This window comes from Homo sapiens, chromosome 2, assembly GCF_000001405.40.
Source record: "Homo sapiens chromosome 2, GRCh38.p14 Primary Assembly".
Taxonomy (NCBI): domain Eukaryota; kingdom Metazoa; phylum Chordata; class Mammalia; order Primates; family Hominidae; genus Homo; species Homo sapiens.
In genome coordinates, this window is record NC_000002.12 from 231299172 (window position 1) to 231324415 (window position 25244).

The 25244-nt window shown below is 43.4% G+C and overlaps 1 protein-coding gene across 10 annotated transcripts in view, besides 3 other annotated features; it reads left to right on the top strand.

The window, feature by feature from the left end:
- Window positions 1–25244, top strand: part of ARMC9 (armadillo repeat containing 9) — a 178218-nt gene that overhangs the window by 100541 nt on the left and 52433 nt on the right. The window lies entirely within an intron of this gene.
- Window positions 12152–12201: an enhancer, noted in NCBI's record as "active region_17280". NCBI's record gives its function as "activates an Ori minimal core promoter by ATAC-STARR-seq in GM12878 lymphoblastoid cells {active_cell/tissue: GM12878}" and the evidence as "EXISTENCE:reporter gene assay evidence [ECO:0000049][PMID:35858748]".
- Window positions 17615–18116: an enhancer, noted in NCBI's record as "H3K27ac hESC enhancer chr2:232181499-232182000 (GRCh37/hg19 assembly coordinates)". NCBI's record gives its function as "activates a minimal SCP1, AML or CMV promoter by ChIP-STARR-seq in naive H9 embryonic stem cells {active_cell/tissue: H9 hESC(naive)}" and the evidence as "EXISTENCE:reporter gene assay evidence [ECO:0000049][PMID:30033119]".
- Window positions 18117–18616: an enhancer, noted in NCBI's record as "H3K27ac hESC enhancer chr2:232182001-232182500 (GRCh37/hg19 assembly coordinates)". NCBI's record gives its function as "activates a minimal SCP1, AML or CMV promoter by ChIP-STARR-seq in naive H9 embryonic stem cells {active_cell/tissue: H9 hESC(naive)}" and the evidence as "EXISTENCE:reporter gene assay evidence [ECO:0000049][PMID:30033119]".

The window sequence follows — 25244 nt, forward strand, 5'->3', positions numbered from 1 at the left end:
ACTAAAATTTTAAAAAAAATAAAGGTAGAGCTAGAAATGCATCTTCTGATTTATAGACTGTCTAGGATATAATGTCAAATAGAAAAAGGAAATCATAAAGTAATTTGACCAATAATTTCGGAAAAAGCAAATGTATAAAGACACAGGGCTATGGATTATGTATGTGCCTATGTAGCGGAAAGGTGTGGACATGTACGCCCTCTTTGCTGACATTATAAACTGCAAGGGGGGAATAGGAATAAGGAAGTTTGGGTGAAAAATGCAGAGAGGCCCTGAGGCTCCTCAAGAGAGAGAAGTGAGACTAGGACACGGGGTTTAGTGGCGTGGAAGTCAGTTGCTGTGCATTTTTGTGGGTTGATGGAGCAAAAGCGAAATGAATGGATTGAGGGCCAGGTGGGAAGTGAGAAAATGGCTTAAGAAGTGTATGCTGCTCCTCGCCCAGTCTGGCTGTGCACAGAAGAGCAATAGTGGCTGAAGGGGGCATTTTTGTTTGTTTTAAGATGAGAGAAACCTGAGCATGTTAAAATGCTGATGGAGTAGCTCCAGCCGAGAGGGAGAGCTGGAACATTCAAGGCAGGAAGAGTCTACAGGATGGCATTGAAAATATGGGTGTTTTCATTGTTTTCTAAACCACTTATACTTTCTTGGCCCACAAAGCCCCAGACCCATTTAAACCTCCAGAGAAACAAAACCATCATTAGATCAGCTTGGACAATACACCCCAGGGAATGGACAATGACAGCTGTTATTTAAGGATTCAAATGCATCTCATTTAGCACTTCAGAGAAATGTGTTACCTGATGCATTTATTTTATATGAAACAGACGTAATATGTTACAAAAGGGCTGTTGGTAAATCACTAAGCTTAGGAGCCTGGTTCCGTTGTTCTCACCCCCAGTGACTCAGGTTTCCTTACTATATATCACAGCCAGTTTCCTTGTATGGCTTCCTTAAGTAGAAATGCAAGACCTTCCTGTGCTATTCTAGAAGACTGATTTTAAGACAAATATTCTCGCCTCTTGACAAAATAGGTTTAAGTGCCAGGTGAGGTCAGCCGTGGACATTTACTTGCTGGTTGCCATGTAAGTGCCAATCGTATGCTCAGCAATTTCCTTCTATACAAAGTGCTCAGATCTAAGAGTTGCTCATATATTTACTCAACAAATATTTGAGGGCCTCGAAATAACACTATTGTAGGAACTAATGGGGAAGGGATGCAAAAGAAATCTAAAAGAGTATCTGTGGTTTAAAATACCTCCAAGAATTTCCAGCCTAGATAGGGAAGATCACAGTGATTCTGACAACAGCAGCTCCCGCCTGCTGGCAGTGCCGGGTGCCAGGCACTGTTCTAGGCGCCTTATGGGTGTTCAGTCATCTCCTCTTCTTAGCAGCCCTGTGGTAGGTGCTATTTTTATTCACATTTCACAGATGAAGAGACAGAGAGAAAATAGGTCACTTGCCAAGTTCACACAGCTAATAAGTAACTGTGATGGGGCTGGGATTCAAATCCAGGTGGTCTGACTCAGTGGTCCATGCTCCTAACCACTGCCCTATATTACCTTCTTGTGAGACATACATGAATGCAAAATAGCAAATAACAGAAAATAAATATGTGATCACAGATTCATAAAGGTGATAGACACAGGAAGTGCCACAGAAATTCCAAGTACTCCAGGAATACTGGGAGATGGCTGGCGTGGGGTAAAGAGGAAGTGAGATGAGTTGAGGAAGGGAAGGGTGTGGCCAGCAGGGGTGGCATCCTCTGGGGGAGACAGCACAAGCATAAGCTTTATCCTTTGCCTCTCCACTGCACTCACATCAACCCCCCCAAGAAACCCATGTTAGTGATCTAGTGTGTGCATGCGCTTTCATACTTAAAAGATGCACACACAGAGTACACGGAGGTATGTACTACACACAGATCCATATATACTTTTGTCAGTATTTGTTTTTCAAAATGAGATAACATAGAGATAGAAATACACATACTTCTACACCATGTTGCCTTTTTCTCTTGTTAATGTTTCTTGAAAGTCCTTCTGAGTTAGGCAGTGTAGCAAGTTGATACTTTTTAATGCTATGAATGTATAATTTTCTAGATTTTTTGCTATTTCAAACAATGCTGTAGTAAAATCTTTGTAAAAATATCCTTATTTACCAGGGCTTTTATTTATATGGGCTCTTGCTGCTGGATGAAAAAGTATTTTTTTAATAATAGATTTTTCCAGATTGCTCTTTTCAAAGGCTGTTAATAATTCAGATTTCACTAGGAGAACATGAAGGAGCCTCTTCCCTCCATCTCCACTAGCAATAGGTGCTGTTACTCTATTTTTTTTTAATGTTTTTGCCAATCTGGATTTGGATTTGCTACATTGTACATTTCCAATTTCATATCCTTTCTGTTTTTTTCAGTTGTGCTTCTTTCCAAACCCTTTTCACCATCATTACAAATGTTTTAAAGATATATTTTTTCTAATCTCTTTTGCCACAAATCTTTTTTAAAATTTTTTTTAAGTTAAAGATTGAGGCGGGATGTGGTGGCTCACGCCTGAATCCCAGCAATTTGAGAGGCCAAAACAGGCACATCACCTGAGGCCAGGAGTTCAAGACCACCCTGGCCAACATGGTGAAACCCTGTCTCTACTAAAAATACAAAAATCAGCTGGGCGTGGTGGTGCACACCTGTAATCCAAGCTACTCGGTAGTCTGAGGCGCAAGAATCATTTGAACCCGGGAGGTGGAGGTTGCAGTGATCCAACATCACGCCGCTGCACTCCAGCCTGGGCAGAGCAAGACTCCATCTCAAAAAAAAAAAGTTAAATATATTCGCTTTTATTTTATAGTTCCTGGGTCTCCTGTCCTGGTTAAGGTCTTCCCTAACCCTAAATTTTACATGTAGTCTCCTAGGTTTTCTTTTAAGATTTTAATTTTTTCATCTAAGTTGTAGTCATTAAATATGTTATGCATAGGAAAGAAAAACATATATGTTTATATAAGGTTTGAAGTAACCATTCTCCAATTTTTGGTTTCAGGAGCCATTTACATTCTTAAAAATTACTGAAGATTCTGAAGAGTTAATGAGTATTTTGTCTATCAAAATTTTTTAAATGAGAACTTAAATATGATAAAATGTTAAATATTAAAATATTAAATAACTTAAAATGGCAATAGTAAATCCATTACATTAATATAAATAAGATATTCTTATGAAAAAGAATTATTTTTCAAAACAAAATTTTATGAAAAAGTGTAGCATTGTGGGTTTGTTTTTTTTTTTTTTTTTTTTTTTTTGCCAATCTCTTTAATGTCTGGATCAGAAAAACACAGTTTGATCTGGGCTGTATCTGTTGTCATATGTTGTTTTGATTGAAGGACATAAAGAAAATCTAGCCTCACACACCTGTGTACTTGGAAAGGGGTGAAGTATTTTCAAAGCCTTTTCAGATAGATATTTTTGCTCAATATTACTTTAAAACCAGACAGGTAATAGTTTATTAAAAGTTAGTTGCAATGTGGAATTAGAAACCAATTTTAAATATCATTTTTATTGGCTGGGTGCAGTGGCTCACGCCTGTAATCTCAGCACTTTCGGAGCCCCAGGTGGGTGGATCACCTGAGGTCAGGAGTTTTGAGACCAGCCTGGCCAACATGGTGAAACCCTGTCTCTACCAAAAATACAAAAATTAGCTGGGCATCGTGGTGTGCGCCTGTAATCTCAGCTACTCTGGAGGCTGAGGTGGGAGAATCGCCTGAACCCGGGATGCGGAGATTGCAGTGAGCCAAGATCACACCACTGCACTCCAGCCTGGGTGACGGAGCGAGACTCCGTCTCAAAAAAATAAATAAATAAGTAAATAGTCATTTTTATCTTGTTAATTAAAATCTATTGATCTATTTTGCATTTTGTTAATTTGATTTTCTGATTGTTCCCTAACAATCAGATGTGCTAATGTATAGAAATACAATTGATTTTAGAATATTGAACTTGTATCCTACAACCTTACTGAATTTATTAGCTCAAAGAGTTTTTTGTTTGTTGTGGGTTTTGGGTTTGTTTGGGTTGTTTTGTTTTGTTTTGTTTTGTTTTGAATTCCTTAGGATTTTCTGTATAACAAGATTGTGTCATCTGTGAATAGAGATCATTTTACTTCCTTTTCAATCTAGCTATCCTTTATTTTCTTGCCTTGCCTGATTGTGCTGGCTAGAGACTCTAGTACAATGCCAAATAGAAGTGGAGAGAGCAGGCATCTTTTGCTTGTTCCTGATCTTACAGTGAATGTTTTCAGTCCTTCTCCATCTAGTACAGCGTTAGCTGGGATTTTTTCATAGATCTGATTATAAGATTAAGAAAGTTTCCCTCTGTTCCTAGTTTGCTGAGTGTTGGGTTTTGTTAAATGCTTTTTCTTCATCATATGAGATGATCATTCTTTGATTTTTTCCCTTTCATACTACTGATATGGTGTATTTATTTATATTGACTTTCAGACCAGGTGCGGTGGCTCATGCCTGTAATCCCAGCATTTTGGGAGGCTAAGGCCGGTGGATCACCTGAGGCCAGGAGTTCAAGACCAGCCTGGCCAACATGATGAAACCCCATTTCTACTAAAATACAAAAATTAGCCGGGTGTGATGGTGCATGCTTGTAATCCTAGCTACTCAGAGGCTGAGGCATGAAAATTGCTTGAACCTGGGAGGTGGAGGTTGCAGTGAGCCGAGATTGCGCTACTGCACTCCAGACTGGGCAACAGAGCGAGACTCAGTCTCAAAAAAATAATTATGGCCAGGCGTGGTGGCTCACGCCTGTAATCTCAGCACTTTGGGAGGCCAAGGTGGATGGATCACTGGGTCAAGAGATCAAGACCATCCTGGCCAACATGGTAAAACCCCATCTCTACTGAAAATACAAAAGTTAGCTGGGTGTGGTGGCGCACGCCTGTAGTCCCAGCTACTCCGGAGACAAAGGCAGGAGAATTGCTTGAGCCCAGGAGGCAGAGGTTGCAGTGAGCCGAGATCGCGCCACTGCACTCCAGCCTGGCAACAGAGACTGCATCTCAATAATAATAATAATCATTATTATTATCATATTGCTTTTCTTACTTCCCAATTTCTACTGGCATCCTGCCTGTTTCATATTTTCAATAGCTCTTTTACCCATGCAGGATTTTGTATTATAATTCATTGATCATTTGGAAAATATTGGCTTACCAAGTTTTACAGTTTTTCCAAATTTTTTGTTTGTTTGAGACGAAGTCTCACTCTATCGCCCAGGCTGGAGTGCAATGGTGCCATCTCTCGGCCAGCTGCAACCTCCGCCTCCTGGGTTCAAGTGGTTCTTTTGCCTCAGCCTCCCAAGTAGCTGGGTTACAGGCATGTGCCACCACGCCTGGCTAATTTTTTGTATTTTTAGTAGAGACAGGGCTTCACTATGTTGGCCAGGCTGATCTTGAACTCCTGACCTCAGGTGATCTGCCCACCTCGTCCTCCCAAAGTGCTGGGATTACAGGTGTGAGCCACTGTGCCCAGCCCCAAATGTTGATACATTTTATTATATAACATAAGAAATTGTGTATTATCAACACCAATAGCATCAGAAAAGCCTTTAGGTATTGGGAAGCTATTGAGCTCACAATGGCAGATATAGGTTTCTCAAAATTCTCATTTTTTCTTGAAAGTTTAAATTGTATTATTGCTGACAAATACTATTGGTTGTTTTCCTTAAAGTGACAGGCTCACTTCATTAATTTTTGAGAAGACATCTGCTGTATACTTAAGTCTAAATAACCATAGTCTGTCAGTTACTCTTTCAAATGAAAATGGTGTTCCTTGAAAAAAGTGGCTTGCAACTTTATCTCACAAGTCCCATTCCTGAAGATAACCATCCGCTTTAGTATAGCAGTACTGCTTTATCTGCCTGTACATTCCAAAAGATGGGCCATAAGGGTTAAGAGTTAATAAAATTAATTCCTACCAGTTCATCAAGGACAGCCTTAAATGAAACTCTATCTACCTGTCATCTATCATCTATCATCATCCCCGTATTTATCTATGGTGAAATACAGTGACTGCTACTAGAGTTTGAGATCGCTGCCTTGGTTTGTGCTAAGGCACCAGTGGTTTTACCCATCATTGCTTTTGTATCATGAGTGGAAATGTCAATGCATTTGTTCCAGGATAAACCATGAAAGTCAGTAAAGCATCCAACACTTTAAGTATTTCAGCCAGTATTACTTGTGCTTCGTTGCCAAGTATTTACATAAGAGATCTTTGTGATTAGTGACTGTTGATACTGGAAGATTACAAGCAAAATAACAAATCCAGGCGTAGTTCTGCAGATGAGATATTAACTCAGCATTCACGTTTACAGCTTCATCTTTAATTCGACAGGCTATTGTTTCATTGGAAAGTGACACTAATGTGATTTCTTTTGTAACTTTCCATCCAGCAGGCATTCAGCAGTGGCAGCTGTACAAGGCTATCGTGTGTGTTTCTCTAGCGAAGGCAATATAACTTACCTACCCTGCAAGGTTCTTTACTGGCCGTGTTTTAAAATTTTGGGTGGTGGGGGGAGAATAATTTTAGATTTACAGAAAAAAAATAGTAGAGAGGATTCCTGTCTACCCATCATACAGCTGCAGTGGCTTTTTAATTTCTAGTTTGAAAAGTGATAAAAAACAAATGTTCAATTTCTCACTTTTAAAGAACTCATCACGATTTAAATAAACTCATCACTCATCAATATTTAAACAAACTCATCTTGTTTAAATAGTCAAATTCTTTTTCATTAAACTCCGAATGATTGGTCTCAAAATTGCACTCCAACTTAACTGACGTTTACACTCCAACTTAACTGACATAGTTAAATATATTCTGTTACATAAGTTACAATAAGGTAAATTATTGACATCTGTAAAACTGAGGGAAAGACAGCTTTCATCATATTTATTTTTTACTGGCAGTTTCATCCAGCTTCTTTGGAATAGATTCCTCCCTTCCATGAGTCAGAGAACTTTCCCTCCCTTATTACTTCCCTCCTTCTTGCCACTAGTTGGGATTTTGATTGGGACTACATTAAATCTATAAATCAATTTGAGTGTTTTATACCATGAGCATAGTATGTCTCCATTGTTTTGAGGCCTTTTTATACTGTGCTTCAAATCTAATTTAAATACCTGATACATAAAGACTTGAGTCATTGCCACCTTTTTTTAATATCCAGAATCATTTGGAGAATAATCCAATGTGAATAAATTCAAATGTGAATCATTTGAAGAAGCTAATTGGTAGAGTTAGAACAGTATAATGGCCAAATCGATACTTTTCTTAGAATTTGAGACAAGAAATAGAAAAATGTGGCTGTTGGTCACATTAGTGCTATAATGGAATTGTAATGAAACACAGCATGACAGATCCAACAAAGTGCAATCAGAACTAGCTAGACCGGGGCATGGAACTTGTATACATCTCGAGAGCAAGAAGTTAAATTCAAGAAGATGGGCTGAACAAGATAGGAACAAGCTAATTGTCCAAGCAGTCAAGAGTAACAAGATCTTCCAAGTGAGGCCTAAGAACTCAGGCAAGGAGGAAAAAAAAAAAATAGAACTCAGGCAAGGAGACAATAAGAAACAACATGGGACTTGTAATCCACACAGAGGATCTGGGCAGTGAGTCTTGAACAACAGGGGAAGCGACAGTGAAGCTTAACACAAAGCAAGAGTTTTATAATCTTATTCTTCCTTCCCTTCTTGACCAGAGCCACAGGTGGCCTTAGCACGGATGTGGAGCTCTAGGGTGTCTGGCCCAAGGATGGTGCTCAGGGCTGGATCATTGAGTTCCTCTGAGAGTGCCTCTCCAGAGGGCTCCAGTGCAAACCTCAAGGTGCCCCTGGTTTTCCTTTCCCTTGCCCTGGTGTTCTCCCCTCTCCATCTCAATTTTGCCTGGGAACAGCTCTGCTCCATGGAAAAGACAGTTTGCTGCTCACAGTGCCCCAGGGGCAGGGGCGTGCCACACCACAGGGAGTCACACAAGGAAGCACTGGGGTGGAGCAAGAGGCTGAGAGAGGGGTAAGTATAGGTGAGGTGGCATAAGCATGCTGAGGACTGTTTCGTTTGGATGAATTTCAGTGGGCTCTCGAGCAAAGGGGCTTTCCCTACTTGTCTGGCACCTAGCCCTGGGGTGATTAGGGCAGGTGGATAATGGCCAGGCGTGTAAGAGCCCAATAAAGGAGATGGTTGGGGTGTGAGCTCTGGATTGGTTGATTTGTATTTGGAAAGCACACTTGGGGGCAAATGTTTTAATATTCCTAAGAGCTGACTAGTTCTGGAAGGGGCAGTCCCTCCAGGGCCAGGCAAGCTCCAATCAAAGCATCAGCGTAGAGGGAATGGAAGACATGGCTAAAACATGAAACCTCCACAGCCTGGCCTCACTGAATATCTAGTCTCATCTCCCTCTCCTCTCGGAAATGGACTCTGGGCCTGAAGGAGTTCCAGGGACCTTACATGGCCCCAAACCCCCCTTCTTGGTTTTCCCACTTCCTTTATCCCATCATTGCTGTCAACCAGGTTCCAGAGCAGGGACAGTTGACTGCCACCAGGCATCTGGCCATAACGTTGACATTGCTCCCCTTGTTATTCAGCCCAATTGACAAAAACTGAAGTCTTTCAAAAGGAACTTTTATTAAAAACTAAAGGAAGAAACTTAGCAAATAAGAGAGGTGTTCAAGCATAGGTTCCAGATTGAAACTGCAGAGCAGGTGACATCCCAGCTGAGGAGCAGCAGGAGCCAAGGCACCAGCCTGATGCTAACCAAGGGGGGTTCACTTTGGCCACAGCTCAGGGAGTATGGAGGGCAAGGGTGGGAGACAAAGCTGGAAGGATGAATTGGAGCCAGACAGTAAAGAGTGGACACTCACTGAAGATTTGTGAGCCCAAGAGACGTGAGCAGAGCCATGCCTTCAGAGGACTACTCTGGCATCAGTGTTCAAGTTCACTGGGGACCGGAAGAGCTTAGTGCGGCAACACAGCCAGTATTTTCCCAGTGCTTCCGTGTGCAGGCATGGGCCAAGAGCTTCCCTGGCTTTCTCCCGTGTATTCCCCTCACCCTTCTGCCAGGTGTGTGCTATTCTTAGCCCCATTTTATGGATAAGAAAACCAAAGTTCAGAGAGGTTCAGAAACTTGTCTAGGGTCCCAAGGCAGTAGCTGGTGGGACAGAGATTTAAGCCCAGGCTGGCGTGAGAGCCTGCAGGCTGCAGCGGGAGTGGGGCTGAGCTTGGCTGATGGCAGAGGGTGCTCCTGGAGGTGGGACCTGCAGGAGTTGGGAACTCAGGAGGCATGACATGAGTAACCAAAGGCTGGTAACCTTGGACCCTAGGTAGCTGGGAGGATAGCGATGCCATTAACAATACGGGGAACACAGGCTGGGGGTAAGAGCAGATCATGTGTAGGGCGAAACTAGATTTTGCACGTGTCAGGAGGCACAACAAGATGATGTGGCTAGAACGGAAAATGATAGGGCATAGAACCAGACAGTTCCTGACCAGCCTTCCTCCAGGTGACTTTGCATTCCATACGCAGAGACATACTGTTGAGGGTTTGGGGCCTCCTTTCTCTTCGGCCACCTTCATACGTGACCTGTGAGATTGTGGACCCACTTGAAGCTGCTTCTAGGTGCATGTCCAGAGAGCCAGAGGCTAGCTGCTCTCCATGAATCAGTCACCTCTGATGGGTCACCCATCGTGGCCAGCTCGCTTGGCATGGCCAGCTCGCTTGGCGTGGCACAGGCTACGCTTCTAATCCCCGTTACCTAATGAGTAAAGAAGTGTCTGTCTTATGTCTGTGTTACTTGCAGGACCTTTCCATTATTTAACCAAGTCAATAAAGAAACCAGTGTTTCCCAATTAAGGCTTTTGCTTCTTTCTGGTACCTTTTCAGCTTCTAAATTCGTTTATTTCTGCAACACTGCTCGTGTGCTCTCAGACCCTGGCTGGGATGCACCACCCAGCAGGCTGACTCATGGCTCCTGCCCTCATTTCCACTCTGGTTTCTATGGAAATAGACATCCGATGGCTCAAAACAAGGTGAGGGCTTGTAGACACCTCATGATTCCTAGGCATTTATAAACCCTATTTGTCCAACATCGGTTGCCTTGGAAACAGGTGCAGAAAAGGTTTTCTCTCTTATCTGATTTTTTAAAAATTTTACCAAAGCAGTGATGAGTTTTTCCTGTTATCACGGAATTTGGGAATAATAGTACATTTTATGTAGTGAAGCATATTTCTAGTTTTTCATTATTTGATAAATAAATGCATTCTACATTATTTCATTTTACAATATTTATTTAATAAATAAATACGTTTCTATCCATTTGATCAAATCACTATCACTTGGTATTCAAAGATGAAATGCTTAGCGTCTGGGTCTAGAAATATGACTGGAGAAAAAATGTGTATGGCCTGCTGTTCCTTGCAACTTCAGAATTCGAGGCATCTAGGGCATAGATGTCTTGAATTCTGAAGTTGGAAGGACAACAGGCCATATACCACTTTTTACAATTTTTTTTTTTTGCAAAATCTAAGATGTTTTTTCCAATTGAAGTTAGAGTTTAAGTGATCAAAACTGATGTTTATGCTGAACCTTAGCAAGTGGGAAAATCCAACTAATTATTTCAGTCTTATACTATCCTGACCAAGGTTCTTGGCTTGCATCGCTGCTTGGTTTTAAGAGCTCAGGGTCTGTTTACTCAAATTGAGCCATTTTATATCTAAATTCTGTGTGCCATCCATGTTATGTAAAATATGGAGCATGTCTGTTATAGAAAACATAGAAATAGAAGCAATTTTCTGTTAATCGTGAGCAAGTAAGCAATGCACCATACTCGGTTTAGTGGAGTGACGAGGACTACATAACTAACTGATAGTCATTCATTAAGCATTTGTTAGGCATGGTGTATTAAAGTTCAGCTATGGGGCCGGGCGCGGTGGCTCACGCCTGTAATCCCAGCACTTTGGGAGGCTGAGGCGGGAGGATCACCTGAGGTCGGGAGTTCGCGACCAGCCTGACCAACATGGAGAAACCCCGTCTCAACTAAAACTACAAAATTAGGCAGGCATGGTGGCACATGCCTGTAATCCCAGCTACCCAGGAGGCTGAGGCAGGAGAATTGAATTGCTTGAACCCGGGAGGCAAGGTTGCAGTGAGCCGAGATCGCGCCATTGCACTCCAGCCTGGGCAACAAGAGTGAAACTCCATCTCAAAAAAAAAAAAAAGGTAAAGTTAAGCTATGGGCGGGTGCAATGGCTCACGCCTGTAATCCCAGCACTTTGGGAGGCCGAGGTGGGCGGATCACCTGAGGTCGGGAGTTCACGACCAGCCTGACCAACATGGAGAAACCCCATCTCAACTAAAAATACAAAAATTAGCCAGGTGTGGTGGTGCATGCCTGTAATCCCAGCTACTTGGGAGGCTGAGGCAGGAGAATCGCTTGAACCCGGGGTAGGGGGGAACGGAGGTTGCAGTGAGCCGAGATTGTGCCATTGCACTCCAGCCTGGGCAACGAGTGAAACTCCGTCTCAAAAGATAAAAAAAAAAAAGGTAAGCTGTGATCTGCTGCTAGGGGCAGTCCAATCTTTAAGGGGAAAAGCAGAGTAAGTTCACTTAAAATAGAAAGACAGAAAAGCAGGCCAGGCACAGTGACTCATGCTTGTAATCCCAGCACTTTGGGAGGCTGAGGTGGGAGGATCGCTTGAGCCCAGGAGTTTGAGACCAGCCTGGGCAACATGATGAGACCTCATCTCTACAAAAAATTTAAAAATTAGCTAAGTGTGCTTGTGCGTAACTGTAGTCCCAGCTACTTGGGAGGCTGAGATGGGAAGATCGCTTGAGCCCAAGAGGTTGAGGCTTCAGAGAGCTGAAATTTGTGCCATTGCACCCCAGCCTGGGTGACAGAGCAAGACTGTGTCTCAAAAAAATAAAAATAAAAATAGAAAAAGACAGAAGCATAGTGAAAGTTAATGTTGCTGTGTGGGGAGGGACACTGCAGAGAATTTGCTATGCAGCTCACTTTGCAGCCGGCTGTGTGCTACTTTCTGGCATTTATTTTCATATCCTCTTTCCTGGTGGAGTCATTTTTTTTTCTTTTGCTGCTATTCACACTACCTTTTATTCTGTGTTAGTGAATTGTAAGTGCTGCTGGGACAGGGCCGTATCAGTGTGGTTCTCCAGAGGCTCCTCACTACCGGCACAGCACTTGGCACATACCAATGGTGGGGTAGGTATTTGCTGACTGAGCATGTGCCCCGTATAGAACACTGTGCAGGGGTTCTGCTGGGCGCAGTTGCTCACGCCTATAATCCCAGCACTTTGGGAGGCCAAGGCAGGCGGATCACTTGAGGTCAGGAGTTCGAGACCAGCCTGGCCAACATGGTGAAACACCGTCTCTACTAAAAGTACAAAAATTAGCCAGGTGTGGTGGCATGCGCCTGTAATCTCAGCTACCCTGGAGGCTGAGGAGTGAGAATCGCTTGAATCCGGGAGGTGGAGTTCTCAGTGAGCCGAGATCGTGCCACTACACTCTAGCCTGGGTGACAAAGTAAGACTCCATCGCCAAAAAAAAAAAAAAAAAAAAAAAAAATATTGTGCAGGGGTTCTGATGGTTCCTTTCCGCAGAGAATCCCTTCATCCCTTCAGAGGAATGTAAGAAGGCAGATTCACCCAATCCCAGCCTGGAGAATTTTCACAAAGTGCATATACCTATGTAATTCAGACACCACCCACCCCCTCAAGTTCTTGACCTCTTCTTGAAATTTATATAAATGGAGTTATTCAGTATAATATACTCATGTGTCTGGCTCATTTGATCAATGTTATGTTTGCTAACCCCCAAAAAACTACCCCAAATCTTAGTGGCTTAAAAAACAATAATATTTTCCTCCCAATTCTGTGGGTTGGCTTGGCAGGTCCTCTGCTGGTTTCACCTGGACTTACTCATGTGGCTTCATTCGGCTGGATGTCAGCTGGGCCGGAAGGTTCGAGGTGGTTTGGCAGTTGGTGCAGGCTGCCAGTGCAGTGTGCCTCAGTTCTCCGCCACGTGACTTCACTCCTCCAGTGAGCTGGAACTGGGCATCTCTGAGTTCCAAGAGGTTGAAGTTGGAAGCTTCCAGTCCTCTTGAGGCTGAGGCTCCAGAATTCTCAGGGCCTCATTTCTGCCAAATTCTACTGTCAAAGTCACAAGGCCAGCCCAGTCTCAAAGGATTAGAAAAATAGACCCTTCCCTGCATGGGATGAGTGGCAAAGCCACATAGCAAAAGGATGTCCTTGCCAGGATGGCAGGAGTTTGTGGCGGTTAAACAGTCTGCTACAGGGAGATTCTTCTCCGAACAAACCGTTTGAAGATAGTCTTTGTGTGCAAAACAGCCTTTTACAGTTTCACACACTTTTTTTTTTTTTTTTTGCAAAATCTAAGATTTTTTTTTCCAATTGAAGTTAGAGTTTTGGTGATCAAAACTGACATTTATGTTGGCCCTTACTAGGTGGGAAAAGCCAGCTGGCTATTTCAGTCTTATACTACCCTGGCCTTACCACGCTCTATCCTCAGTTCTTAATTTCAGAAACGTTACCATTCTTTTTCTAACAAAAAAGTAGTATTGTAAGGACTCAATGAACTAATCTGTATATTATCCTGAACAGAGTGCCTTGGGTGTATAGTATACATTCGGTTCAGGCTTGCTTTTTTGTTTCCTCCTAGTTCTCCCGAGTGGATCAAGCTCTGGGAATGTTGTAAAAACTGACTTGGCTAGAATTCATCTATTTAACAAATATGTATCAAGCACCTGTTATATGCCCAGGTCTATTCTATATCCTTAGTGTTTTTTTCTGTCTACTCATTCTACCAGTTACTAAGAGAGGAGTATAGAAATCTCCAACTAAATTGTGAATTTGCCTATTTTCCCTTTCAATTCTGTCAGTTTTGGGTTCATCTATTGTGGAATTCATTTGCTTTAAGCATATATGTTTGTAATTCTATCATCCAACAGTGTTGACCCTTTATCACCATGAAATGTCCTTTGTCTCTAATAATGTCTCTAGAATATTTGGTCTGTCCAATATTAATATAGCCACTTCAGCTCTCTCATGCTTGCTGTTTGCATGACATGTTTTATTCTTTTACTTTCAACCTATTCGTGTCTTTTAATATAAAGTACTTCTCTTGTAGACAGGATATAGCTAGCTTTTGCTTTTTTAATCCAGTCCGACAATCTGCCTTTGATTGGAGTATTTATTTAGTGTGTTCACATTTTTGACAGTTTTATTGAGGATATAATTTATATACCATAAAATTCATCTGTTTTAAGTAAATGTATAATTCCATGAATTTTAGTAAATTTATAGAGTTGTGCTACCATCCCCACAATTCAATTTTAAAATATTTTCATCACCCTGCAAAGCTCCCTTGTGCACATTTGTAGTCAGCCCTTGCCTGGGTCCCCCACCCCCACAAACCCCAGGTAACCATCAATCTGCTTCTGTCTCTAGATATTTGCCTTTTCTGGAGATTTTATATCGTATGCATGTGGCTAGTGTTTTCATTTTCTTTTTTTTGTTTGTTTGAGACAGGGTGTCACTCTTGTCACGCAGGCTGGAGTGCAGGGGTGCAATCACGGCTCACTGCAACCTCCACCTCCTGGGCTCAAGGGATCCTACCACCTCAGCCTCCTTGAGTAGCTGGAACTGCAGGTGTGTGCCACCACTTCTGCCTAATTTTTTTTTTTTTTTTTTGGTAGGACGGAATCCCACTATGTTGCCCAGGGTGGTCTTAAACTTCTGGGCTCAAGTGATCTTCCCACCTTGACCTCCCAAAGTACTGGGATTACAGGCATGAGCCACCACACCAGCCATCTTTTCTTTTTTTTTTTTTTTTTGTTTTTTGTTTTTGAGACGGAGTTTCACTCTTATTGACCAGGCTGGAGTGTGATGGCGCAATCTCAGCTCACTACAACCTCCGCCTCACAGGTTCAAGTGATTCTCCTGCCTCACCCTCCCAAGTAGCTGGGATTACAGGCATGCGCCACCATGCCCGGCTAATTTTGTGTTTTTAGTAGAGATGGGGTTTCACCATGTTGGTCAGGCTGGTCTCGAACTCCCGACCTCAGCTGATCCGCCGCCTTGGCCTCCCAAAGTGCTGGGATTACAGGTGTGAGCCACTGCGCCAGGTCATTTTCCTAATAGTGTCTTTTGATTTGTAAAAGTTTTTTATTTTGATGAGGTCTAGTTTATCTTTTTCATTTTTTCATTTATGGTCTCTGCTTTTGTTGTTGTATCTAAGAACTTTTTGCCCAACCCAGACTTTCTCAACCTTGGCACTATTGACATTTTGGGCCAGATAATTCTTTGTTGGGGAGGCTGTGCTATGCGTTATTGGGTGTTTAGCGGCATCCATGGCCTCTGCCCATTAGATGCTAGTATTAATCCACCCCTCTTCCCAGTTGTCACAACCAAAAATGTTTCTAGACGTTGCTAAATGTCCCCTAGGAGGCAAAATTACTCCTAGTTGGAAACCATTGGCCTAGGCCAACATTGCAAAGATTTTCTTTTATGTTTCCTTCTAAGGGCTTTGTTGTTTTAACTCCTATGTTTAGGTATAGGACCATTTTTAGTTAATTTTTGTGTGTGATGTGAGATAAAGATCTAAATTCACCCTCCTGCATATGAATATCCAGTTGCCCCAGTATCATTTGTTGAAAAGACTATTATTCAACCCGTTGTATTGCTTTGTCAAATAACACCTTTGTAAAAAATAAATTGGCCGGGTGCGGTGGCCATAATCCCAGCACTTTGGGAGGCCGAGGCAGGCGGATCATGAGGTCAGGAGTTCAAGACCAGCCTGACCAATATGGTGAAACCCCATCTCTATTAAACATACGAAAATTAGCCGGGTGTGGTGGTGCATGCCTGTAGTCCCAGTTACTTGGGAGGCTGAGGCAGGAGAATCACTTGAACCTGGGAGGCAGAAGTTGCAGTAAGCCAAGATCATGCCACTGCACTCCAGCCTGGGTGACAGAGCAAGACTCTATCTCAAAAAAAAAAAAAAAAAATGCTGGACGCAGTAGCTCATGCTTGTAATCCCGGCACTTTGGGAGGCCAAGGTGGGCAGATCACGAAGTCAAGAGTTCAAGACCAGCCTGGCCAGCATGGTGAAACCCCATCTCTACTAAAAATACAAAAAAATTAGCCAGGCGTGGTGGCGCACACCTGTAGTCCCAGCTACTCAGGAGGCTGAGGCAGGAGAGCTGCTTGAACCTTGCAGGCAGAGGTTACAGTGAGCCGAGATTGTGCCACTGCACTCCAGCCTGGGCAACAGAGCAAGGCTCCATCTCATAAATAAATAAATAAATAAATTGACCACAAATGTAAGAATTTATTTCTGGACTCTCAATTTTGTTCACTTGATTCATATGTCTAGCTCTATGCTAGTACCACATGATGTTAATTACTATAGCTTTATAGTAGGTTTCAAAACACGAGTTCTTCAACTTTGTTTTCTTTTTCAAAATTGTTTTGTTTAATATTCATATTAATGTAATAATTGATACGGTTGGGTTTAATTCTGCCATTTGCTATCAGTGTTCTATTTATCTCTTTGTTACTCTGTCCTTCCTGCCTTCTTTTGTATTAAGTAATATATGTACTGCTGCCCTTTGTATTAAGCAAATATTTTTTAGTAAACCATTTTAATAACTCTACTAACTTTTTAGCCGTATTTGCCTTTTTGTTTGTAAGTTGGTTCTAGGGATTCAGTATGCATCTTTCACTTGTCACAAACTACTTTGAGTTAATACTGATTTATTACTGGTCAAATAGAAGAACTTTGCATCAGTAGGCTCGATTTCTGTTCCTCTTTTGTGCTCTTGTTGCCATATTTGCTACATTTATGTTTATTATCAACCCGGTGCTATAAATAGTCATGTATCATTTAAAGAAGGAACATGTGTGTATGTATGTGTGTGTGTGTGTGTGTGTGTGTGTGTGTGTATCTCCACCTACATATTTACCATTTCCAGTGCTCTGTAATGCTGGTCTCTTAACAACAAATTCTGTTTTGTTTTTTTTTTAATCTGGAATTTTCTTTAGTTCACCTTCTTTTTAATTGCTACTTGATTTGGTCAAAACACCTTCATTTTTGAAGCATAGTTTCACTGCATATAGAATTCTTAGTTGGCAGGGCGCAGTGGTTCATGCCTGTAATCCCAGCACCTTGAGAGGCCGAGGCAGGTGGATCACCTGAGGTCAGGAGTTCGAGACCAGCCTGGCCAACATGGTGAAACCCCATCTCTACTAAAAATATAAAAAATTAGCCAAGCGTGGTGGCACATGCTACTTGGGAGGCTGAGGTGGGAGAATCGCTTGAACCCAGGAGAATCACTTGAATTGAGGCGGAGGTTGCAATGAGCCGAGATCATACCACTGCACTCCAGCCTGGGTGACAGAGCAAGACTCCATCTCAAAAAAAAAAAAGAAAGAAAAAAAAAGAATTCTTAGTCAACAGGTGTTTTTTCCCCAGCACTTTTAATAGGTCATTCTTTTGTCTTCTGGCTTCCATTGTTTTGTTTTGTTTGTTTGTGACAGAGTCTCACTGTGTTACCCAAGCTGGAGTACAGTGGCTTGACCTTGGCTCACTGCAACCTCTACCTCCCAGGTTCAAGCAATTCTCATGCCTCAGCCTCCTGAGTATCTGGGATTACAGGCATGCACCACCACACCTGGCTGACTTTTGTATTTTTGGTAGAGATGGGGTTTCACCATGTTGGCCAGGCTGGTCTCAAACTGCGCCCAGCCCCATTGTTTATGATAAGAAGCCAGCTGTTAATTGCATATTTTATCATTGCTCCCCTGTATGTAATGGGTTGTTTTCCCCTTACTTTTGAATATTTTTTTTCTTTGGTTCTTAGCGGTTTGTCTATGATGTACCTAGGTGTGGGTTTTTCTGTGTTAATCTTTTTTAGGGTTCATGGAACTTTTTTTTTTTTGAGACGGAGTCTCATTCTGTCGCCCAGGCTGGAGCTCAATGGCGCAATCGTGGCTCACTGCAACCTCCGCCTCCTGGGTTCAAGCGATTCTCCTGCCTCAGCTTCCTGAGTGGCTGGGATTACAGGCGCCTGCCACCATGCCTGGCTGATTTTTATATTTTTAGTCGAGGCAGGGTTTCACCATGCTGGCCAGACTGGTCTCGAACACCCGACCTGAGGCAATCCTCCTGCCTTGGCCTCCCAAAGTGCTAGGATTACAGGTGTGAGCCACTGCACCCGGCCTGGAACTTCTTGGATCTATAAGTTACAGTGTTTTTTTTGTGTGTGTTTGTTTTGGGGTTTTTTTTTTTTTAAACCAAATTTGAGTAGTGTATAACCATTATTTACTCAAGTGTTATTTTCTGCCCCTTTCCTCTCCTCCTGAAAATCCAGTTGCACACATGTTAGAATGCTGATATTGTCTAACAGATTTCTGAGGATTTCTTCATTTTTATCCAATGTTTGTTCTCTTCTTTGAGCTGGATACTTTCTGTTGATCGTCCTTCCAGTTAACTGATTCTTTTACCCTTTTGTATCTGCTGTTGAGCTCATCTATTGAATTCTTCATTTCAGTTATTGTACTTTTCAGCTCTAGAATTCCCATTTGGTTCCTTTTTATAGTGTCTATTTTTCTGTTGAGATTTCCCGTTTTTCACTGATTTTCAGTATTTTTTTTAAAACTTCTGAGCACATTTTCCTTTAATTCTTTGAGCATATTTATAATAGCTGCTTTGAAGTGTTTTTCTACTAAATCTAACATCTGGGCCCACTCAAAGTTAGTTTCTCTTGTCTATTTTTCCCCCAAGGACAGGTCACGCTTTGTTTCTGCTGTATCTAGTAATGCATTTGGTTGACAACCAGACGTTATAGATAACGTGTTGTCGTGATTCTAGATTACGTTTTGCTCTCCTGAGGGCTGTTGCTTTCATTTGTTTGGTAAGCAGTTAACTTGCCTGCTCTTAAACTGAGAAATGTGTCTCCCCTGTAGAAGGCAGCCATGAGTGTGTCTATCATTTTCTCCAATCCCAGGGTCTCCCCTCCATAATTTAACTGTTGATTGGGATGGAAATTGTGCTCAGATGCCTGAAGCCAGTAAGGTTTCCACCTTCTGCTGCTTGAGCTGTGTGTGGATTGAGGAATACATTTGCAAGCACAAAAAATTATCTGCAAGTTTTCCCACACTGTTAGCTTCCTCTGGGTTCCTTGGGTTTTCTGCATGTACCTGTAGTTTAGCAGTCAGAGATGTGGGGAGATTGTAACATCTCTTAACCTCTGTAGCCCTCTTGCTTCCAGCTGTCCCCCTTCAATTTCTAGCAGCTGTGCCTGCCACTTGCCCTCTACCACGTTCACACCTCCAGGCCCTGGGGTGTCACTGCCTACGATGGGAACGCCTCCAGGCAGGAAGGCCATGAACACACAGTTCTCACCCAGTGCCCTAGCACTTCCCCACTGAGCAAGTACTGCTTAAGTTGTTGCCTGCCATTGGTCATTTTCCAGTGTCCTGGAATGATTATTTTTAGTAAACGTATCACATTTTGCACTTGATAACTGTAGAGAGGAATTGCCTGACCTACTCCTGTTCCAGGAACAGGAGTATATGCCTAGGGCCAGAAGTCGTTAGATCCTAGGGATATAGCGGTAAAAGCAAAGCAGACATCCTATTTGGAGAAAGCAAGCCTTCAACAAATAAGCAGAGATGATAGCCAGGTGACCATGAGTGCTTTGAAGAGCAGTGGGGCAGAGGGAAGAGCAAGTGGCAAGGTCCTGAGGCAGAAGCATATTGGGGGCCTTGCGGGAACAGGAAGAAGCAGGGAGGGAGTTGGATATGAGGTCAGATCACCTAGGGCCTGGGGAAGGACCTTGGCTTCTATCCTGAGAGAGGAGGGAAGCTGTTAGAAGGTCACTTTCATTTTTAAGTGATCAAAGTGCTAGTTTACTAATTTACAGTGAGAAATAAAACTGCCTGAGTGAGGTCAGTAAGTCACTGACTGGGCTGGGCTATTCCTGGGACTTGAACTGAGCCCAAAGGCGCTGGGACCAGGTAGCCTTGTAGAGCTCATGAACATCCAGGTGGAAGTGGCCATTGGGCTCTGCCAAGTGTCCCCCATCCTAGGATCAGGAGCCCTGTTCGGGTCCTGATTCTGCCATGTACAAGCCTTAGTTTCTCTAAATGGGCTAAAACTAACTGCCACGAACCTGAGCAATGCTCAGCCCAGCATCTCACCCCCATGCTAGGCACTAGTAAGGGGTTCTAACCCAGATGTGGGCATAACAAACACCTGAGGCTCATAAATCACCTGGCGGTCCCAGGCGCCCATGCTCCTTAAACTGCTAAGTGACCAGGGACTCTTCCTCTCCCTTACACTTTGCTGTCATCTTCCAGATGGTGTCTACACACTGTGGCTCATCGTTCTGGAAGTCACTTTCATCTTCCCCTTCATTTCCTTTCTGCTCCACATCCTGGCTTAAGCCTCACACCCCTCTCTGTACTAACTTCCCAGCCTTCGGTCTCTGGCCCTCCCAGCTTGTCCTGCATGTGGCCACCAGACCATCTTCTTAAAGCAGAGCTTGGACCACACGGGGACATGATCACTTAATTTTTAAATTAGGGAACATTTTAAACTTTTCAGAAAGAACAGAAAATAATATAACAGACAGCTGTGGCTGTATCCCTTCCTCTCCCTCCCCTCCTTCTCTCCCCAGAATTAACCACTATCTTGAAGTTGGTGTATTAATTCCACAGATGATTCTGTACTTTCATAATATACACTGTTATGGTTTTTAATTTTACATAAGTGGCTAGTATTATATGAATTGTTTACTGGCTTGCTTTTTTCATTCAACATTATGTGTTAGAGGTTTACTCATCCCAATACCCAGTTCACCCACTTAGCTGCTGTATGTAGTATTTCATTGTCAGAATAAGCCCCTGTGTGTTTCTCCTTCCTTTCCTGTGTTTTCCACAGTGCAGCAAAGAGCTTCTTCATCCTCGTGTCCTTATATGCCCTTGAGTGCTTCTCTGCAGCTCACACCTAGATGTTGAATTGCTGATGCAGGGGGATGAGGGTCTCATCTTTACTAAATCCTGCCAAATTGCTCCCCAAAGGGCTGACCCATTTGCACATTCACATGATGCCTTTTAAAACACTTTCTTGCTCCCCATCACTTGGCACAATCTCAAGTTGCTAACGGTAGTATTCAAAGCCTCACTCATTAAGACCCTGTCTACCTTTATATTTTTATTTATATTTGTTTTTTCATCTGTAAAAATAGGGATAAATCATCATGACAGAGATGTGAACAGCAAGTTCATCTGTGGCCCCTCATGGACAAAAAAAAAAAAAAAAGATAGTGTCCTTTCCTTCCTTTTCTTCCGTATAGTGTCCACTCGCTGGTCTTTCTTCTGGAGCTATATAGAATAAGCCTAATCCAGAAAAGGCAGTGGCAGGGGGTGGCATTAAAGCCAAGGCTGGGACCTGTCTTAATCCCTGGTAGGCATCTTATTGGCAGGTGAGCTGATGGTCACAGCTCACTGAGGTATTGGATCACATCCTTGTCTTGTATCATGTGTGCATTTGATCAGCATGCTCTTCCTGTCCTTATTCCAAGTCCAAGGCAACAGGGAACAGGTGGGGCCAAGCATGGAAGCCTCTCTATACCTGCCAGAGACCCACAAAAATGATAGATGCATGGTTAATACTTGCTGAATGTCGAGTCAGTGACTGGCAGAATCTGAACACCAAGAAAGGGTTCAGAAGCTAACTCCCTGTGTTTGAGTCCTGCCTGACAACTTACCAGCTGTGTGTGGCTTTGGGCAAGCTGGTGAACCTCACCAAGCCTCAGTGTTCTCATCTGTAAAGCGAGAATATTAATACCCTTTTCATCAGGTGCTTGTGAGGATCAAATGAAACAATCCATGTCAAGTGCCAGGCAGACTCAATGCCTGTCAGCTGTTTTTAACGCCGCCCTTGCGATCTAGAGACAGACTGGCCTGACTGGTCTAGAGGCAAGCCGAAGTCTGCTGGAGTGGAGGTTCCTCATGTGCTGCCTGGCCAGAATTAGAGAGAGCCAAGGCCAGGGCTGGCCCGGATGGAGCGGGGATGGAAAGCAGCTGGCAGAGAAGTAGAGCACCCTCAGTGGGGAAAGGAGGGGTGGGAGGAGGCTGGTCCCAGGCCACACTTTGGGTAGCAGCAGCCTGGGAGTTTTTCCTGAGGTTTTTTCTGTGAAACTTTAAGATTCATCTAAACAGTATTTCAGAACATAGACATTATATTGAATAATAGTTTTTTTTGTCTTTATGACATTCCTGCTGGCATGTAAGAAAATCCCTTCATTGGGTCAGGAGTGTGTCCAGTCCTGGAGTGGTGGTTTCTTCTTAACTAGCCCATCTTCACTTGCTCCAGGTTGGGGCGGGGACATACCCTGCCTTGGTCCCTAGGTCTTTTGTTCCCCTTTGCCCGTTGTGTCCTGAGCACACTCTTAGGATCCTGTTTGGAAGGGGCCCTGATTTCGGTTACCCTCTTCCTCTTCTCCATGTGAAGCGCGGTGTCTGTGGTACTGCTGGGGCACTGGGTCCCTCTCCCTCTAACCTCATGGAAGCTTTCTGCTCTTTCACTTCCTGTCCCACTGAGCCTCCAGGTCTTCTCTTATTGGGTGTATTAAATATTGCGATAAGCCCTGCTTTTCCTAGGGCGACTTTGCCATCATCTCCACATTTCTTGCTGTTTTTGCTTAGAGTACAGAAAAAGTTTAAGCAAGTAAACTGAGCGGCGAAAGCAAGAGACTGGGAGAATTAGGGAAGTAAAGGTTGTTTGGGTTCTCCGGTTTCTGTCATATCCTTATTTAATGAACTGGTCTGGTTGTGAAACCAACTGTCATACCCTGGGCTGCATTTTTGTGAATGGGGAAATGAATGTAGAGGGAGACTTCTCCGCGTCGCGGGGAGCCCTCAAGGATCCCGGACGTGCTTCCATCTGCAGTCGTGGGCACGTGCTCAGGAGGAAAGCTGCACACGTGGCCAGGGCCCATTCCACTGGGGAAGTCAGCGCCTCACGCTGCCTGGCCTGGTCACCTCAGTCCACCCTCGCTCTCCCATGTGGAGTGTTTTTCCCTTATTTTCACAAAGAGTGAGATTTACAATTCAGCGTTCTGAGAAGGTGTCTCAAATTTAAACTACTTATAGAAGTCTTATAATTATTTCAAGTGGAAAGCACACCGGATACTTTCACTTGTCATGTGTAAAACCGCCTGAACACATTCTGCTCTGCATTCTATCTGTAAGAATCTGAGTTTTCAAATGCATTTAGTGGTCACCCTTAGTTTTGTTTTCAGGCCAGTTGCTTAGAATCTGGTTTGTCTGGAGTATTATGTATCGAAAGCCTCCAGTTAAGCATCTTGTAATGTCATAAGGTCACCAAGCTGCCATGGGGAAGCTTCGCATTAGGACATCTAAATTCATCTCAGCTCGAGCGCCTTTTTTATGAGGCATTCTTAATTTCTTGAAGTAATCAGTTATCACTGAGCTCTAACATTAGTAATCTGATGCATTCTGCTCTGGTACATAAAGACCAGTAATTTTAGTCAAATTCCTCCAACAATGGTATTTAAGACCCACCCTAACGAGGCATTTATTCTTGAGTATTTCTTTATCCATCACTCCCTTACTTCACAAAGTAGATTTTAAAATATGTCGTTTCGTTTGGAATTCACAAGCAGCTCAGACAAGTTAGCACAGTGGCTGGTGCCCTTGTCGCCCAGTGCACCCAGCACCTTGCCAGGCTTGCATTGAGAGAGGCTAGCAGAATTCTTTCCCCGAGCAGGGCACGGTGGCTCATGCCTGTAATCCCAGCACTTCAGGAGGCTAAGGTGGGAGGAATGCTTGAGGCCAGGAGTTAGAGGCTATAGTGAGCTGTGATCATACCACTGCACTCCAACGTGAGCTACAGAGCAAAAACCTGTCTCTTAAAAAAAAAAATGGGGGGAGAACTGATGGCAGCAGTGGCTCCCCTCCCAGCTGGAAGGCCTGAGTTGGCATTCTCAGAGGGTGCCTCTTGGCCTCACCTCTGGGTTTGCCCATTATTAAAAGTCCAGATACATCCTCAGAGTTGTTTTCATCTGCCTGGCACTGATTGAGAAAGTGGAGCAAGCGCCTGCTATCAGCAAGCTTCATTGCTGGGAGGTTCTCTGCTTACATTTCCCACCGCAGGTAGTGGGCTCCTCTGCCTGCAGGTGTTACTGGGAACGGTTGAATGAAGCTCTGGCTTCTTTGTTAAGCTGCCCTTCCCACCTCAACTAGCGCAGCTCAGTTTGCTTCCGCTCTCTCCCCTCCCAAGCCCTAAGGATGCCTCCGTTCCCTTTTCGCCGGTTTCAGTGTTTCTCAGAAACCATGGCAGTGACTTGTTTATATCTACACAGTATCATGGCGTTCCAAAAGCAGAGAATTTAAGAAATTTCTTCCATCAGTAAGTCATGATTTTAAAGGAGGCAGCCAAGTGATCCCATTTACTAGCTAGAGAAAATGAGGCGCTGACAAGAATCATGTCTTTCTGAATTAGAACCTTGGTACAAAACTTTTTAAACCAAGAACCATCAATTTGGTGATGATTTTCACCTCAGTTTTCTTACATCTATGCATTTGACATTGAAATAACAATAGCGTTTGCCTGCATGTTGCACTAGAGAAACTGAGGCAGCGGAAGCCAACTGTCCCTGTTGTGAGCAGGTCAGCTGCGGGGCCCTGGTTCTGCCCCAGGCCCCCTGCTCACACTGCTAAGCTGCAATTCAAGTTAACTTTTATTAATGGGTAGCAAATATTAGGAACAAATGCAGAAACTGTCCTGTGTTTCTGGAGGTTAGGGAGGGCCTATCAATTCTCAGCAAATTTAATTGTAAAGTACTTTTTTTTTTTTTTTTTTTTTTGTGATGTAGTCTTGCTCTGTTGCCCAGGCTGGAGTGCAGTGGTGCAATCTCGGCTCACTGCAACCTCCGCCTCCCAGGTTCAAGCGATTCTTCTGCCTCAGCCTCCTGAGTAGCTGGGACTACAGGCACACGCCACCACGCCCAGCTAATTTTTGTATTTTTAGTAAAGACGGGGTTTCACCATATTGGCCAGGCTGGTCTTGAACGCCTGACCTCGTAATCCGCCCACCTCGGCCTCCCAAAGTGCTGGGATTATAGGCCACGCGGCCT